Genomic DNA, 15,664 nt, shown 5'->3' with positions numbered 1-15,664 from the left:
TATGAAATAGCAATGGAATGAATGAATGAGTCTTTTGTTTGATATTATACATTACAATTAGACTTAAGTTCTCATTTTATAAATAAATACAGTTACTTACTTCGGTACCTAAAATGACTTGTTGTTTGATATGACAGTTGAGCCAAAAATTACTTAAGCCAGTTTCATGGTTTAGAACTATCTCCTGTCCTTGCTAACGGTGATACATAGTTTGACTTGGTGTTAAAATAATTGGTATTGAGAATGGAGCTCTGCTGCTAGAGTACAAGGAGTTCTTTTGTAACCTTGTGACTGCAGGGTACTTACCCTGGTCTTTGATACAGTGAGAAAGCATGCTGTTTCATCATTAAATAGAAAGAACTGAAAGAGAAAATCTGCCAGAAACATTTTCTGTCATCAGTTTCAAGCCCTAAAAAGAAAATACTTAAGGTTCAAGACATTTTTTTTTTTTTTTTTTTTTGAGACGGAGTCTCGCTCTGTCGCCCAGGCTGGAGTGCAGTGGCGGGATCTCGGCTCACTGCAAGCTCCGCCTCCCGGGTTCACGCCATTCTCCTGCCTCAGCCTCCCAAGTAGCTGGGACTACAGGCGCCCGCCACTACGCCCGGCTAATTTTTTGTATTTTTAGTAGAGACGGGGTTTCACCGTTTTAGCTGGGATGGTCTCGATCTCCTGACCTCGTGATCCGCCCGCCTCGGCCTCCCAAAGTGCTGGGATTACAGGCGTGAGCCACCGCGCCCGGCCAAGGTTCAAGACATTTTTAAAAGTGGAAAAATAATTCTGGAAAAGTTAGAAAAGTAGTTTGGGCTGAGTGGTAACCCAGATAGTATCAGATGGACAGGAATCACTATTTTGTTCTATTTAATTTATCAAAGAAAAATAATATATGCTAAGCTAGGCAAGGTGGTGTGTGCTTGTCATCCCAGCTACTCAGGAGGCCAAGGCAGAAGGATTGCTTGAGCTCAGGAGTTTGAGTCCAGCCTGGGCAACATAACAAGACCTAGCTCTTTAAAAAACTGTTTATGAGGGTATTCTCTCAACCTCTCTTGTCCACAAGAGTGTTTGTATTTTTTAAGGAGAGAGCTTATCATATTCAGAGAGGAGCATGGACTGTAACATGTTCAAGAAGCCTGCCTGCTGTCCACAGGTGCAGTTGTGCTTTCTTTGTGATGGTTTATCATTAACAGTGGACAGTAGGCTTTCTTAATGCAGCTGTTTTTTTTAAATACACTCCTTATTCATTTATATGGTAACATAAATAGTCTAAATAGTCTCCTGTGTTAACTACCCATTTTCACTGTTACCCATAGGTACCATGTATCATTTGGACAGACCTCTAAGGAGTGGAATTGACTTGACTCCCTTTTCTCCTCCACCTCACAGCCAATCCCTCCGCAGCCTTCAGGCTCCACTGCCAGGATACGTGCAGAGCATCTGCCCCCTCCTCCAGCCATTGTCACCTCCTGCCTGGAGACCGCAGGAGCCCCACACATGGGCTGGAGTGACGCATTGAGACAGATCTTTTAAACCCCTGCTGTGTTTTTTCATTTCAGTCAGAATAAAATCTGAAGTTCCTGCCATGGCTTGTAAGGCAAGCCCCATCTGATCTCACCTCAGCTGTCTTCCCTGCTCCCACCTCTTCCCCCGGGTCCACTCTGCTCCAGCCCCACGGCTGCCTTGCTGCCAGCCGTGCCCAGCTCAGGGGTCTTCACGCATCATTCCCTCTGCCTGGAACCCCTGTCACCAACATCCACACAACTCCTCTCACTTCTTCCTGGTCTCTGCTCAACTGTCACCTTACCAGAGAGGCCTTCTCTGACTTCTTAATAGAATAAAAGAGTTCCTTCTTTTTGTAACACTTAGCACTTCTGAAAATATGTTTTATAAATTTTATTATTGTTTTCTGCAACCAGTATGCAAGCTCTGTGGATGCAGGATTGTCCTCTCCTTTGTTTACTGCCGTATCCAGGCCCTGCAGCAGGTGGGGCACACAGTGCACAGCACGTGTTTGTTAGAAGAGCAAATGATTGCCTAGGAGGAGACAGCACTTTGCAGATAGTGCGTCCATCTTTGATTTGTCTCATCGTGAGAAATCTAAGTTGAAACCTTCATATTTGCTCATAAGGATCTGTATAGAAACTCTTATTCAGACATACTTTTGAGCATGACTATGTTCTGATCCTTAAAATTCTTATTGTATGGGTACAAATGAAAATGAAAGCTTGTTTTACTTTGGAAATGGAGAGCAGTGAGGTGGATCGTTATTCTATCAGATGTTCTGAAGCTTATGCTGCATCTCACTGGTTGCATGTCTTTTCATTGCAGGCGCATGCCAAGCTTACTGGAGTATTTGAGTTACAACTGTAACTTCATGGGGATCCTGGCAGGCCCACTTTGCTCTTACAAAGACTACATTACTTTCATTGAAGGCAGATCATACCATATCACACAATCTGGTGAAAATGGAAAAGAAGAGACACAGTATGAAAGAACAGAGCCATCTCCAAATGTAAGGTCATGAGATTTATCTGGAGCCTTTACAGCATGTATTGGTTAGTCTTATTTAAAGATACAAATATTTTCACATTGTGAACTTATCCATCTGTTTCTTTAAAAATACTTTTCAAGATAAATAACTTCACACTGCACCTGGTAGAAGTACAGTCATGATTAAGAACACAAATAAGGTCACTTGAGAAACTATGTGGTAAATTCCTCAGTGAGAATAATGCTTTATGGTTATAGGGGATTTTACAAGAAAGCTCTTAGCATGGAATTGGCCAGCCTAACAATTTTCCAGGCTCCCTTCCCCCTTCCCCCTTCCCCCTTTCCTTCCCTTCCTTTTCTTTCTTTCTTATTTCTTTCTTACCTATGCCTTGTGTTCCAGCAGATTGTAAACACTCTGTATCCTCCATTTCTTTTTTGCTTTCCCTCTCCTCTTCTTAATTATTGCAAGTTGAAATCTTTCTTCTCTTTAAAAGCCTACTTCAAATACCACCTTTTTCCACAAAACAGCTCCTGATTCCCACAATGAAGAGATTAGTAATATGATAAAGATATTAATAATAGCTAACACTTTGACAGTGCTCACCATGTGCCAGGCACTGTGGTGTGCACCTCACACGTAGTTACTCTTTCAGCCTTCACAGCATTCATACAAGGTAGACACTGTTTTTCTCACCATTGAGGAAACTGAGACTCAGAGGCTAAGTGATTTGACCAAGATTCCCCAGGTTGGCAGTAGAACTGGAATTCAAACCAGTGCAATCTGGTTTCAAGTCTATGCTAAGTTGCCTTACAACCAAACATAATGTTTATTTTCTTTAAGCCACTGGGGCACTTGAAATTGCTGGGATGCTGCTTCATAAAGAAAGGCAGTGAGGCTCTGTATAGGCTAAGTTTCTGTTAGATTTCATCTGGTAAAATCTATAAAGTTTCCATGAAAAAGAATAGGCCAATCAGGAAGTCTGTGAGATGAAGGAAAGGGGCTGGTGTGTTTTCTGTGAATGTAGGGCTTAGAGCAAGGGGTCACCTTCTTTCTCCTGCAAATCTACCACCCTCCACTGTGTGGGCAACAAAGAGTCAATGTAGAAATGTACCTGCACTTGCAAAAGATAGTATATTACCTCTTTCCTACCATGTCGCTCATTGTATTTTATACCAAAAAGGTGTTTTGTCTTCATATTTTCTATTACTGGTTAAGTGTTGAGAAATGTCATATCAAACTGAGTGGGATTCCAGACTTGAAATTGGTGTCTCTTCACTGACTGTTTTGTATCTCCAGGATGACCACTTAATCTTTTAGTGGTCTCCCTGCTGTAAGAGAAGGTAAAGACAATTGTAGACAGCTTCTTAGAAGTTTATTCGGGAATGCTGGAAGGAGAATAAAAGCCTAGGAGTCAAGATGCTGGACTGTCAGTGACCAGTTTGGCTCATCATTTCGGCACATCACTTAATGTGTATGAGTCCTTGTCTGCAAAAGGAGAATCTTAATGTCTTCCCCATTTTACAGACTGTATGAAGATCAAATGACTTTGTAAAATACTTGAAAATATCAAATGTTATAAAAGTGATAGTAGTAAATCAAACTTGACAAAGAATAATACAAATGTATATATTCTATCACTTCACTGAGTTTTTATGGGTTTTACTATCATAAAATATCACTTTCCTCTTTTGGGTTATAGACATCCTAAATCAGAGGTTGTTGATAATGGCAAATATTCTTCATGTATTTTCCCACCATTTTAATAATATATTTTATTTAAATTTCACGTGCATATACTTTATAAAGTCAAATAGTGGTAGTTAGTCATAAGTCCCTCAAGGGGCATTTGGAAGCTCCTTGTGCATCAGTGAAGTGCATAGATGCTCAGGATCCTAAGGAGGATGCTCACGGAGCCCACTGGCTCTTCTGTTGGGGACCTCTCCACTGTTCTCTCCTCTATCTGCATCAGTTAGGATATGGGTTTGGCTGCTGAAACAAGGACCAAAATAACAGGAACTTAAACAAGGTGGAAATTTGTTTTTATGTTATATGTGGGACAGCTCACCTGTAAGCAGTGCATTGATAATATGGGGGCCCCAAAGTGTTAGAGATCCAAGCTCCATCTTCCCTGTACATATTACTTTTGCTCATATCCTATTGGCCAGAACCTAATCATATAGCCACACTCGGGTGCACCAAAGGCTATGATGTGTCATCTTTAGCTAGACTTCCAAGCACCCAAGAGAAACTTCCTTTTCTGTGCAGGAAGGGGAGGAGGGCTCCTGGGAAACACTTGGCAGTCTCTGTCATGATGTCTGTAGGCTATTTCTCTGGGGCTCTTTGGTTTTTTGGGTGAAGGATTCTCCAGTTTTCTGCCTAGGGCATACAAACTTGACTGCTGGGACTCTGGGTCTGGGCAGGGGAAGGGGGCTGAGGATATCACCTCTCAGGATACAGGCTGTTTTCGTGTTCTTTACATTTTCGTTGCAGCACCATATCCCTGCCCTACTTCAGAACCATATAGTCTCGTGGCCACAGTACTTCTTATTACATTACTAAAATGATAAGCCTCATTTTAAAATTAAAGTATGGGGCCATTTATTTCACCTTGCTTCATTTATAATTACAATTTTTTTCTCTACCATTTTAAAATCTCATAATTCAAATGTATAGGTAAGATATTTGGGAGGCACTGAAGAAAGAGTAGCCTTATTTTATTAAAGAAAGGGATAAAAGACAATGGAAAATGAGAATAACAACTGCTGCAAGGAGTCCTTGAACACTGAGTTCCACCTCGCAGGAGCAACCAATAATAAAATACTGTTCTCAGAAGTGCAGTGCATCCGGCATATGCTTTGGCTCTTGTCTTGGAGCTTTTCTTCTGGCACTATTATATAAAGTGTTAAAATGTGGAGCTTCATTGATAAATTACTGCAGTTAATTTGAATACTATTTGGTTACTGTATAGAGCACTTCTAAATCCAGATATTTTGTTGCATACTTCATCTGGATCTAGCCTTCTCTTCGCTTGTTTCTTTTTCTTCCTAGCCTATATAATCTCTTTTATACCAAATGAAGTTGAAATATTCTGGCCTTCTACAAATATAAAAACAGCATGAGTTGTAAAAATACAAAATACCATGAGTTGGTGATGCGACCTTACCGCACTATTGCTAAGAATAGCCTCTTCCTTTCACCAGGGTCTTTTATGCAAATTCTTATTCTTCTCAGGTGTATAGCTCTTTTGGTTTTTATTATTCTTGAACAAAGTTGTGTTAACTTTCAGATTTACAGAGATGCATAGATTGTTTATTGTAAAAATAACATCCATGAGATGCCTAGAATTTGGAAAATACAGAAAAGACACAATGGAAAAAATATATATATCCATATAAAATTTATTGCCAAAAGTAATTAGTGTTAATTTTTTATATTCACTTCCATTCACACCAATACACTTATGCTTGCTTTTAGATTTTTTTATTTCCTGAAAATTCTGAATACAAAATGGAGATTTTAGTATGAGTTGAGCAATAACCCCTAGGTAGTACTTATAGATACAGTTGGAAAAGTTCATACCATGAGACCATGGAAGACTTTAAATGCCAAGTGCAATGTAGCTCTTGAATTTTGACCAGGAGAGTTGTAGGACTGATGATCCATTCAGGAAGATTAATCTGTCGATAATACATAGAATGAATTAAAAGGAGCATGGATAAAGTTGATGAAGTCTCGCCTTGCGCTTTTCAGACTGCGGTTGTTCAGAAGCTCTTAGTTTGTGGGCTGTCCTTGTTATTTCACTTGACCATCTGTACAACATTACCTGTGGAGTACAACATTGATGAGCATTTTCAAGCTACAGCTTCGTGGCCAACAAAGATTATCTATCTGTATATCTCTCTTTTGGCTGCCAGACCCAAATACTATTTTGCATGGACGCTAGGTAAGTAACATGTAAATAGATTTCCCTGTGTCTGGTTGAAGCGTTTCTTACCTTGTCGATAGATTGCTATCAGTGCGCCCTCTTGAGGATACATAAAGACCAATTGGAAAAATTAAGTCATCTGTGTAGAAAAAACAGCCCTCGCAACTCATATGTAAGTATATTCTAAAAACTGAATCAATTTTATTATAATACAAAATAAAAATACATGGATCAATGAAAGACAACAGATATTTGTTGAATGCATATTATATTCTAGATTCAGTGCTAGCCAGGATAGATACGAGTATGTATAAGACATAGTTCTTATCCTCCAGATGGTTATAATTTAGTATGATTGTATTCAGCTTACAGTTATGATACCTGTTAAATAGACCATTAGCCATAGTATAATATGATCAGTAGTTTATCAGCAAAGTGAATAAAATGATATTGGCACATTGATAGGGGGTCATCAGTTATGCTTGGCAGGTAGAACAAATTTTAGAGAAAAGATAACATGCAATCGTGGCTTTAATTGAATGTGGGCCAGTTATGGTGGCTCACCCCTATAATCCCTGCACTTTGGGAGTTCAAGGTGGGAGGATCACTTGAGGCCAGGAGTTCAAGACCAGCCTGGGCAACATAGTGAGACCCCTCTCTCTACAAAAAGATTTTTAAAAATCAACTAGGCCTGGTGGCATGTGCCTGTAGTCCCAGCTACTTGAGAGGCTGGGGTGAGAGGACCGCTTGAGCCTAGGAGTTTGTGGCTGCAATGAGCTATGATTGCACCCCTGCACTGCAGCCTGAGCGACAGAGTGAGGTTTTAATATGAGTTGAGCAATAACCCCTAGGTAGTCTCAAAAACAAAAACAAAAAGATGGAATGTGATTTCAGCAAGTGGAAAATGGCTAGTTTTGCACTCATGAGCAAAGAGACATGGAGGTACCTCGCTTTGCGTGGCAGATGTTAGCAGGGGCATGTGGGAAGGAGGGACCTGGTCAGGTGAAATGGGCTTTCACAGGACCTTGCCTGCTCTGCTGAATTAGCCACAAAAGGCTTCAGGCAGGCTGATGGCCTGATCCTGTGGCAGAAGAAGATGATTCTGGCCACGTTTTGAAGGTTGGACTAAAGTAGAGAGAATGCTTCATTGGATAAATTGAAACCTCTTTTATATATGTATTGTCTTTTTATCTCACCCACAAGATTATAAACTCCTTTATTCTTAAGATTGTGTTCTGCTTGCCTTGTTTATATTTGTTACTCAACAAATATTTGAATGAATGCACAAAGAAACACATCAGCCAATAATTAGGCCTCTAAGGATTAGCATTTTACTGTCGGTTTTATTTTGATTACAGTGAAATACAGTTTGGGGCTGGATTCATTATTTTCAGTCTTTCATCATACAGCTGTGCACAATAGCATCATTAAAAGTTGCTGTAACCTAGTGAGTTAATGGCCAATTAAAATATGTTACCTTATGGATTTTAATCTAAGATTTCTTTAAGGATTGAACATTTTTATTGTAGCCAAATTTAGACATCAATAATACCGAATTAAATTCCTGTACTACTTAAATTCTGACTTTAAATTGAGACTGAGAACTTTCCTAAACAAACCTGGTATTTTTAGGGTTTTGTAAGAATTCTGACCTGTTGGTTGAATCGCTAGATTCATAGAATATGAGAGTTCTGCATGTTTTTGGATTCGGTTGGACATCTAGTTGTTGGAAATCTTATCAATAGAACGAGGTCCTTGAATTTATAAGGCTTTTGAGAAAAATCACAAGATCTCTGTAAATATGTAAAAATATACAAGATTTATCATTAGGCCGGGCACGTGGCTCATACCTGTAATCCCAGCATGTTGGGAGGCTGAGGAAGGAGGATGACTTGAAGCCAGAAGTTTGAGACCAGCCTGAGCAACATGGTGAGACCCCATCTCTTCAAAAAAAATTTTTTTAATTAGCCAGGTGTGGTGTTGCACACCTGTGGTCCCAGCTACTCAGGAGTCTGAGGTGGGAGTACCGCTTTAGCCAGGGAAGTTGAGGCTGCAGTGAGCTGTGATCGCACCATTACACTCCAGCCTGGGTAACAGAGTGAGACCCTGCCTCAAAAAAAAAATCAACCAAATTTATCATTAATTTTTTATTTGCAATTATGACAATTAAAATGATTCTTAGGGTACTTCTGATCCTCCGACCCCAATATTTGGTTTGAAAAATGAATCTTGTGCATTTTTACATATTTACAAACCAAAGGTGAGTTAATTCCTTTTCCCTGATTCTTCCTTAAAGAAATAATCATATTAGAATATATATGAATGACAATTTGAAATTGAACTATATTTAAAGAATTTAAAGAATTTTTAGCTGTAAGGCAATAAAGTTATTCCATGCAATAAATACTTGTACTATGTCTGTACTGTCTTAACACAAGTAATGGTTGAGTTCCTGGTAATGGTTCAGCGCTGAGGTTCAGGTTTCAACTCTGTCAGTGGAGAAGCCAGCTGAGGCTCAGCATGCATGTGCCCACGTTCATCTCCACCCCTGTCACCTTTTTGTAATTGTCCATTTGGTTGTAAAATTGGAGTTTAATGATCTCTGGAGGTCCAAAAATCTGTTTTTTGGGAAGTCCAAGAGTTCCAAAATTCTTTAACTTTGTTTTTGTATTTTACTAATAATTTATAAAAATAGTATGAATGTATTCTGGATCATATGGACAGTTACTTTCTGATTTTTGTATCCACATGTACATTTTTCAAATTATAATTTCATGGATACTAGTGGCTAGGCAGACTATATTTAATTCCTTAATTCAGGCTTCTCAAAATGGGAATCAGGCTTCTCATCTCCACAGCCCTGTGGCCCTGCCCTTTTCTCCTTATCACCTCAAAAAAATGATTTACTGGGATCTGAGCACTTTTTTTCCCTTTAACTCAAGTTTGAAAAACATTTAGTCCATGTAGGGACAGATTAAAGTTTAAATTGATGTTAATGGTCAGTTATTTGGAATATCTCTATATAATGACAACTTGGAAGCTCTCTCAGGATTTACATTACCTGAGGTAAAGATTAGGCAGGGTCTGTGGTGGGAGACTGGGGGGCAGGGGAACATGGAAGGTGGACTCCTGCAGTTTGATATCCCCAGTTCTCTTCTTGTTTCGTTGCTGTTGACCATACCCTGGGCCAATCTTGTTGTCACTTGTGAAGTTGGTTAGGAGTTTCATTGCTCTTAGATCACAGTAGGCTAAAAAAGATGGAGAGGATGAATACATGAACAAATCAGAAGTGTTGGCAACCATGAGGGAGGGAAGGAGTTCCCCAGCAGCCATTTCTATGGGTATGCTGCCCATGCGGTTAATAGATTTTTAATTCTGTTGAATATGTTACTATGCTAGCAGGCTTACCTTAGAGGCTCATATTTATGTGAATTGAACAAAGGCGGCTGACCTCATTAAACCTGACAGAGGAGTAAATCTTGTTTATTCTTTTCCCCCAAAGTGTAATTTTTAAAGGATTTTGTTTGATGTACTAAAAAGCACTAATAAACAATAAAACAATTTAAGGATACATGTCTGTATAGGTATATTATTTTGCTGGGCTTTGATGGATTTGTTTGTTTTTTCTTTGGTCATGATACAAATAGCATGAACAATTTTCCAGTTGATTGGAAAAGGGCTTATTTGAGGCAGAAATTTTTTTTGCAGCTTAAGCATGTACATAAAGCAAAAATAACTAATTGAGCATTGTGGTGAAAAGGATTAGAAAACAAATTCTGGGTCGGGTGCGGTAGCTCTTGCCTGAAATGCCAGCACTTAGGGAGGCCAAGGTGGGAAGATGGCCTGAGGCCAGGAGTTCGAGACCACCTTGGCAACATAGTGGGACCCCCATCTCTACAAAAAAAAAAAAAAAAAAATAGGCATGATGATGTGCACCTGCAGTCCCAGCTACTCAGGAGGCTGAGACAGGAGGATTGCTTGAGCCCAAGAGTTCAAGGCTGCAGTGAGCTATAATCCTGCCACTCCAGCCTGGGCAGTGACACAGGGAGACCCTGTCTCTATTTTTTAAAAATTCTAGAGACATATACACAGAGTAGGTTCTGGTGAACCAAGAAAGAAAAAAAATGGAAGGAAAATATTATGCCTCACTTATATATTATTGTTTATAGGACACTTCAAATATATGATTAAAAAGAACATGGTGCTCCCAGAGCAAAAACATCCCCTTAGCAACTTCTTGGCAGCTGGTTGAGCGTACTCTGCTGTGTTCCAGTGGCACAGCTAATGTTGGGGAGCGTTTCCTGTTCGAGTCTTCACCTTCACCTATTGGTCCTCAGCAGCTTTTAAACTCTACCCGCCCCCAACTCATGCATGATGTCTCATGTATTACTGACTAACCAAATTGTCCTAGATATGTTATTTTCATTGTATGCGATGTTGTTTCTGACTTAAAAATCAGAATAAATCTACTTTTACTGTTTAAGAATAAAAGATATAATAACACATACCTTCTGGGAGAATATGGTAAATTGTTATGGAGATTCTTAATACTTTTTTCTAATGTTGTTTTCTATAGCTGATGCCATTAATAATGCTGCAGGCTTTGGTTTCAGAGGGTATGACGAAAATGGAGCAGCTCGCTGGGACTTAATTTCCAATTTGAGAATTCAACAAATAGAGGTGAGTCAATCTTTAAGAAGTTAGTTACTATATACTTTAAGTACCATAGTTTGCTTTCATAAGTTATGGTGTGATGTCCTAGGAGTGGTATTGAAGGTTTTTTAATATTAACACTCATTCTTTCATTTAACCAATACATATTGGTCGTCAACTATGTGCCCTGGGCACTGGAGACAAGGAATAAGATAGGTGCAATTCAGGCCCTCATGGAGCTTTAGTTTCCTAGAGGTTACAGAATAAGGTAAAACAGGTGGTGATCAGAGAGGGGTAAGGCATGTGGGTATTCATGAAATAGGAATCCAGGTTAGTTGAGGTGTTTGGGGGAAGAGAGTCCTAAAGAAAATGATGCTTAAGCTGAGTCCCAAAGAAGTAAGAGACAACCGGACACTCCAAGTAGAGGGAGCAGCCTGGGAGCCGAGAGCTGTGCAGCTCATGTTGCTTCATAGTTTAGGGAGTCATGAAGGATGAGGTTGGGGAAGTGGAGGCCAGGCAGCCACACTCTTACAGGCCATATTAAGAGTTTTGATCTTTCTTATAAGAGCAATGGGGCACTGCGGATGGATTATATGTGTAGCCAAGTGAGGTGATCATATAGGTGTTTTAGAAGGATCTGGCATGTAGAATGTATTTCCCTCAAGAGGCAGAGAGCTCTGTTAGGAGGATGTTTTGTTAATCCAAGATAATGGTGACCTAAACCATATACTGCCAGTGGGGCTAGAAACATATAAATATATTGGAGAGATGTGTAAGAGACTCAACAGAATTTGGTGATAAATTGGGATCAGCAAGAGAGAATGAGTTATGAATCAGGCCCAGAAATCTGGTTTAAACATCTAGGTTTATGGTGATAGCTTCCACTTAGATAAGGAACAGAGAATAGATATGAGTTTGAAGGGACAGATAATATCTTCAAATCACAGACTTAGTGAGTTGTCCACGAGGCAGATCATGGTCAGACACTCAGCAGAGGCACCCGAGCTTGAGAGTGAAATCTGGGAACTATCAGCACGTGGCAGTTCAGGCCCTGGAGGAGAGAATCAGAAGAGGTGAGAGTCTCTAAAAGAGCACCAGTACTGAGAGGCTGGGCAAAGGAATTCAGGAGTAGCCAGAAAGAAAAAAGGAGAAAACCAACAGGGCTCTGTGGCTCACACCTGTAATCCCAGCACTTTGGTAGGCCAAGGCAGGCAGATCATTTGAGTTCAGGAGTTTGAGACCAGCCTGGGCAACATGGCAAAACCCCATCTCTACAAAAAATACAAAAACTAGCTGGGCATGGTAGTGAGCACCTGTAGACCCAGCTACTCAGCAGGCTGCAGTGAGCCGTGATCGTGCCACTTGCACTGTAGCCTGGGTGACACAGCAAAACCCTGTCTCAAAAAAAAAAGAAAACCATTGTTTTGCTAGCCTGCGAAAAGGATCATTCCAACATTCCAAATAGAAGAGATTACTAAAACTTGAGGTGAAGAGGCCAAGCTGGATCCTCTGATGAGCCCTAATATTGCTAAAAGTGGGCAGTCAGGCAGTAAGTGCCCGAGACGGGATGCCATAAGAAATGCAGGCCATCACTGAAGTGTGCTGAGATAACCAAATCTGAATCGGATTTCTAGATACTTACAAATTTAGAGGGGATGTGGAGTATAGAGGGTAAGTTAAACACCAGATCAGATCAAAAGTGAGAAGTTCTATGGGACATATGACCCAAGCTGTTACAGATTAAAAGAGGCTTTGGCCAAATGCACTGTATGAACTTTTTTGGGATGCTGATTGACCAAACCAACTGGAAAAGACTTTTCTAAACAATCAGGAATATTTGAATACAAAGGGGGATTAGATAATGTTGAGGAATTATTAATTTTGTTTGATCATGGTCTTTTAAAAAGTCTTTATTTATTGGACATATATTCTGAACTAATTGCAGGTGAAATAAGTCTGGTATTTGCTTTGAAATATTCTTAACAACAATGTTGGCAATAAAAATGGAGAAGGAGAGGGAAAAATTGATCATTGTTGAAGTTGAATGATGGATATAGCAGTGTTTCTCACCTTTGTTTATTATTAACACCTTAAGAGGACTTTTGAGACACTCTTTTCCTAATAATTTCCCCCCTGAAATTTTAATACCACAGATACACTGTGTATCTGTATACCTATTGATACACTACTGTATGTATATATGTTCTTTATACATAAAAAAAGATATTTTTGCCCCTTAAGAACGAATTTTCATCTCCTGGGGGCGATATCACCCCTGCTGAGAGTGCATGGCATGAGAAAAAGTAAAGAAAGGAGTTAATTTTTCTGAAGGAAAAAATGGTCATCAATGCTAAGTGCCACTGAGATACCAAGTAAGAGAAGGACATAAATGCCTTTATCATTTATGGTTTTATTTATTTATTTATTTATTTATTTGAGACAAAGTCTCGCTCTGTTGCCCAGGCTGGAGTGCGGTGGCGCGATTTCGGTTCACTGCAACCTCTGCCTCCCGGGTTCAAGCGATTCTCCTGCCTCAGCCTCCTGAGTAACTGGGATTCCAGGTGCCTGCCACCACGCCCGGCCAATGTTTGTATTTTTAGCAGAGACAGCTTTTCACCATGTTGGCCAGGCTAGTCTCGAACTCCTGACTTCAGGCGATCTACCCACCTCGGCCTCCCAAAGGGCTGGGATTACTGGCATGAGCCACCGTGCCCATCCTTGTTTATGGTTTTATGAACAACCGTTTCAGGAGAGGGATTGGCATAAAGGCCAGATTACACAACTCCTAGGAGTTCATTCCCCGTAAAGGGAAGAGGGTAGAAATAGGGCAGTAGCTGAGGGGAACAGGGAATTGAGGGGAGCTGTTTGTTTAATTTTGTTTTAAAATGGAGAGAGTAAAACATATTTAGTGATTAGGAGATTATTTGGAGGGGAGAGTGTGAAGCTTCTCCTACAGTTGAAGGAGAGAGACCTATTGATTGAAGTCCCGGAGAAGATGGAAGTGGAGACATTGGCCCTAAAGGAGAAGGACCACTTCTCCTGTTATAAAGACAGGAAGGAGGGCAGGATAAGTGTGTGTGCAGCTGAGTGTGTAGTTCGATGATGAGAATTTGGAGTCTGATGATTTTATATCATCTCTGTAAAGTAGGAGGCCAACTTACCTGTTGTGAGGGAGAAAGGAGGTGATAGGACCAGAGATATAGATGGGGTATTAGGTTGAATCATGCGAAATTGCTGACACTTACCTCTTCTTGACTTTATTTTGAAAAAAAAGAGAAAAGAAAATTTCAAATGGTTCAGTCCAGTAGCTTTTTTCAGGAAGAGGAGAATGAACTGTCTAGGAAAACAGGATTGTAGGTGAGGGCTCAGTCGTGGTGGAGAACCATGAACTTAAGACAAAGGTCTGAAATGTGGTGATACTCTGCACTCAGCGCACAAATGTTACCAGTGGGGAAAGTGGACGGTGTGTTTGATCTGGAATTAGGGTTTTGATAGGGAGGTGAATGGAAAGGAAAAAGAAACAGAAGCATTGAAGATTCTGACATAAGAGTAGTAATTTACATAAGGGAACACAAAATCTAAAATGGTCAGAAGTGAAGACCAGAGGAGGAGAGAGTTACATAGGATAAAAGTAGACAGGGTGGGAGATGAAAGGCCCCCTCTGAGATCAAAGAATAGCTTTAGTGGGAGTAACTTGAGAGAGGAAGCTGGGAAGGTGGGATGCCCTGTGAGACCTGGGTGTGCAGATCCACTCTTTCAGGGGCAGCACAGCCAGGCAGCGCCAGAATTGAGAGTAGCCAGGGCACCGAGAGACGATGGCAGGGCAGGATGTCGCGGTGGATGTCTGCTTCACCCAGGACCATGGCGGAGCTTGGCGGGAAGGAGGTAACAAGGTGGGCGCCCCAGTTTTCAGTGTGAGAGGGAGGCCATCAAAAGGCATTTGTACACATTCTCAGGAATGTCTTTGGAAGAAATCCATGACATCCCTTGTAAATGTTAACATACAAGAGAAAATGGTGATAATCCATCACCTCATAGATGTTCCCAACAATAAATAAACTTGTCTTACGTAGAATGATGTTACCACATTAGAAAAACAAGATTAAGGAAAGAGAAATCACTATACTACCATCGATGTTAAGTAATTTTTGTTTTTATTTTTTAGCATAATAATATATTATTATATTTAAAGCTTCATTATTTTGTGACACAAAGAAAAAAGTTTCCTTTTTTTTCAGATGTCAACAAGTTTCAAGATGTTTCTTGATAATTGGAATATTCAGACAGCTCTTTGGCTCAAAAGGTGCGTTCCTTCAAAAACGATCTTTAGATGTGCTTTGGCGTCTAGTTCTCGAGGTTGAGCTTCATTGAGTTCAGGTTCTTGATTAAATTAACGGTGTTGAGTGACATTGTGACCTCAGTGTCAGCCGGGAAACACTGTTAGCCTCCTCCTAAGCAAGTCAGTATCGAATGAGAACTATTTTGGCTTGAGTCACGAATGCAGCTATCCTGCAGGTGCAGCTATCCTGCCCTCTCAAGCCTCCTTTAAAGGCCTCTGCCAATGTCAGAGGTCACCAGTATCCTCCTTTGCAGCTCCTGAT

At 40.3% G+C, this 15,664-nt stretch overlaps 1 protein-coding gene across 13 annotated transcripts in view; it reads left to right on the top strand.

Moving 5' to 3' along the window:
- MBOAT2 (membrane bound glycerophospholipid O-acyltransferase 2) overlaps positions 1 to 15,664 on the top strand; it is a 150,995-nt gene that overhangs the window by 124,149 nt on the left and 11,182 nt on the right. For 11 of the 13 annotated variants that reach the window (NR_135601.2, NR_135605.2, NR_135600.2 and 8 more), the window contains 4 exons: positions 2,323 to 2,506; positions 6,236 to 6,428; positions 10,987 to 11,090; positions 15,302 to 15,366. Coding sequence is in view for 4 of the 13 variants with exons in the window: in NM_001321266.2 (NP_001308195.1) it covers positions 2,323 to 2,506; positions 6,236 to 6,428; positions 10,987 to 11,090; positions 15,302 to 15,366 (546 nt within the window). In the remaining 9 variants the exon portion in view is untranslated. Of the gene's footprint in view, positions 1 to 2,322; positions 2,507 to 6,235; positions 6,429 to 10,986; positions 11,091 to 15,285; positions 15,367 to 15,664 lie in introns of all 13 variants that reach the window. The other 2 variants (NR_135604.2, NR_135603.2) reach the window with 1 other exon arrangement.

This window comes from Homo sapiens, chromosome 2, assembly GCF_000001405.40.
Source record: "Homo sapiens chromosome 2, GRCh38.p14 Primary Assembly".
Classification (NCBI taxonomy): Eukaryota; Metazoa; Chordata; class Mammalia; order Primates; family Hominidae; genus Homo; species Homo sapiens.
The sequence above is the reverse complement of the archived record's forward strand: the minus strand, read 5'-3'. Positions and strand labels throughout refer to the sequence as shown.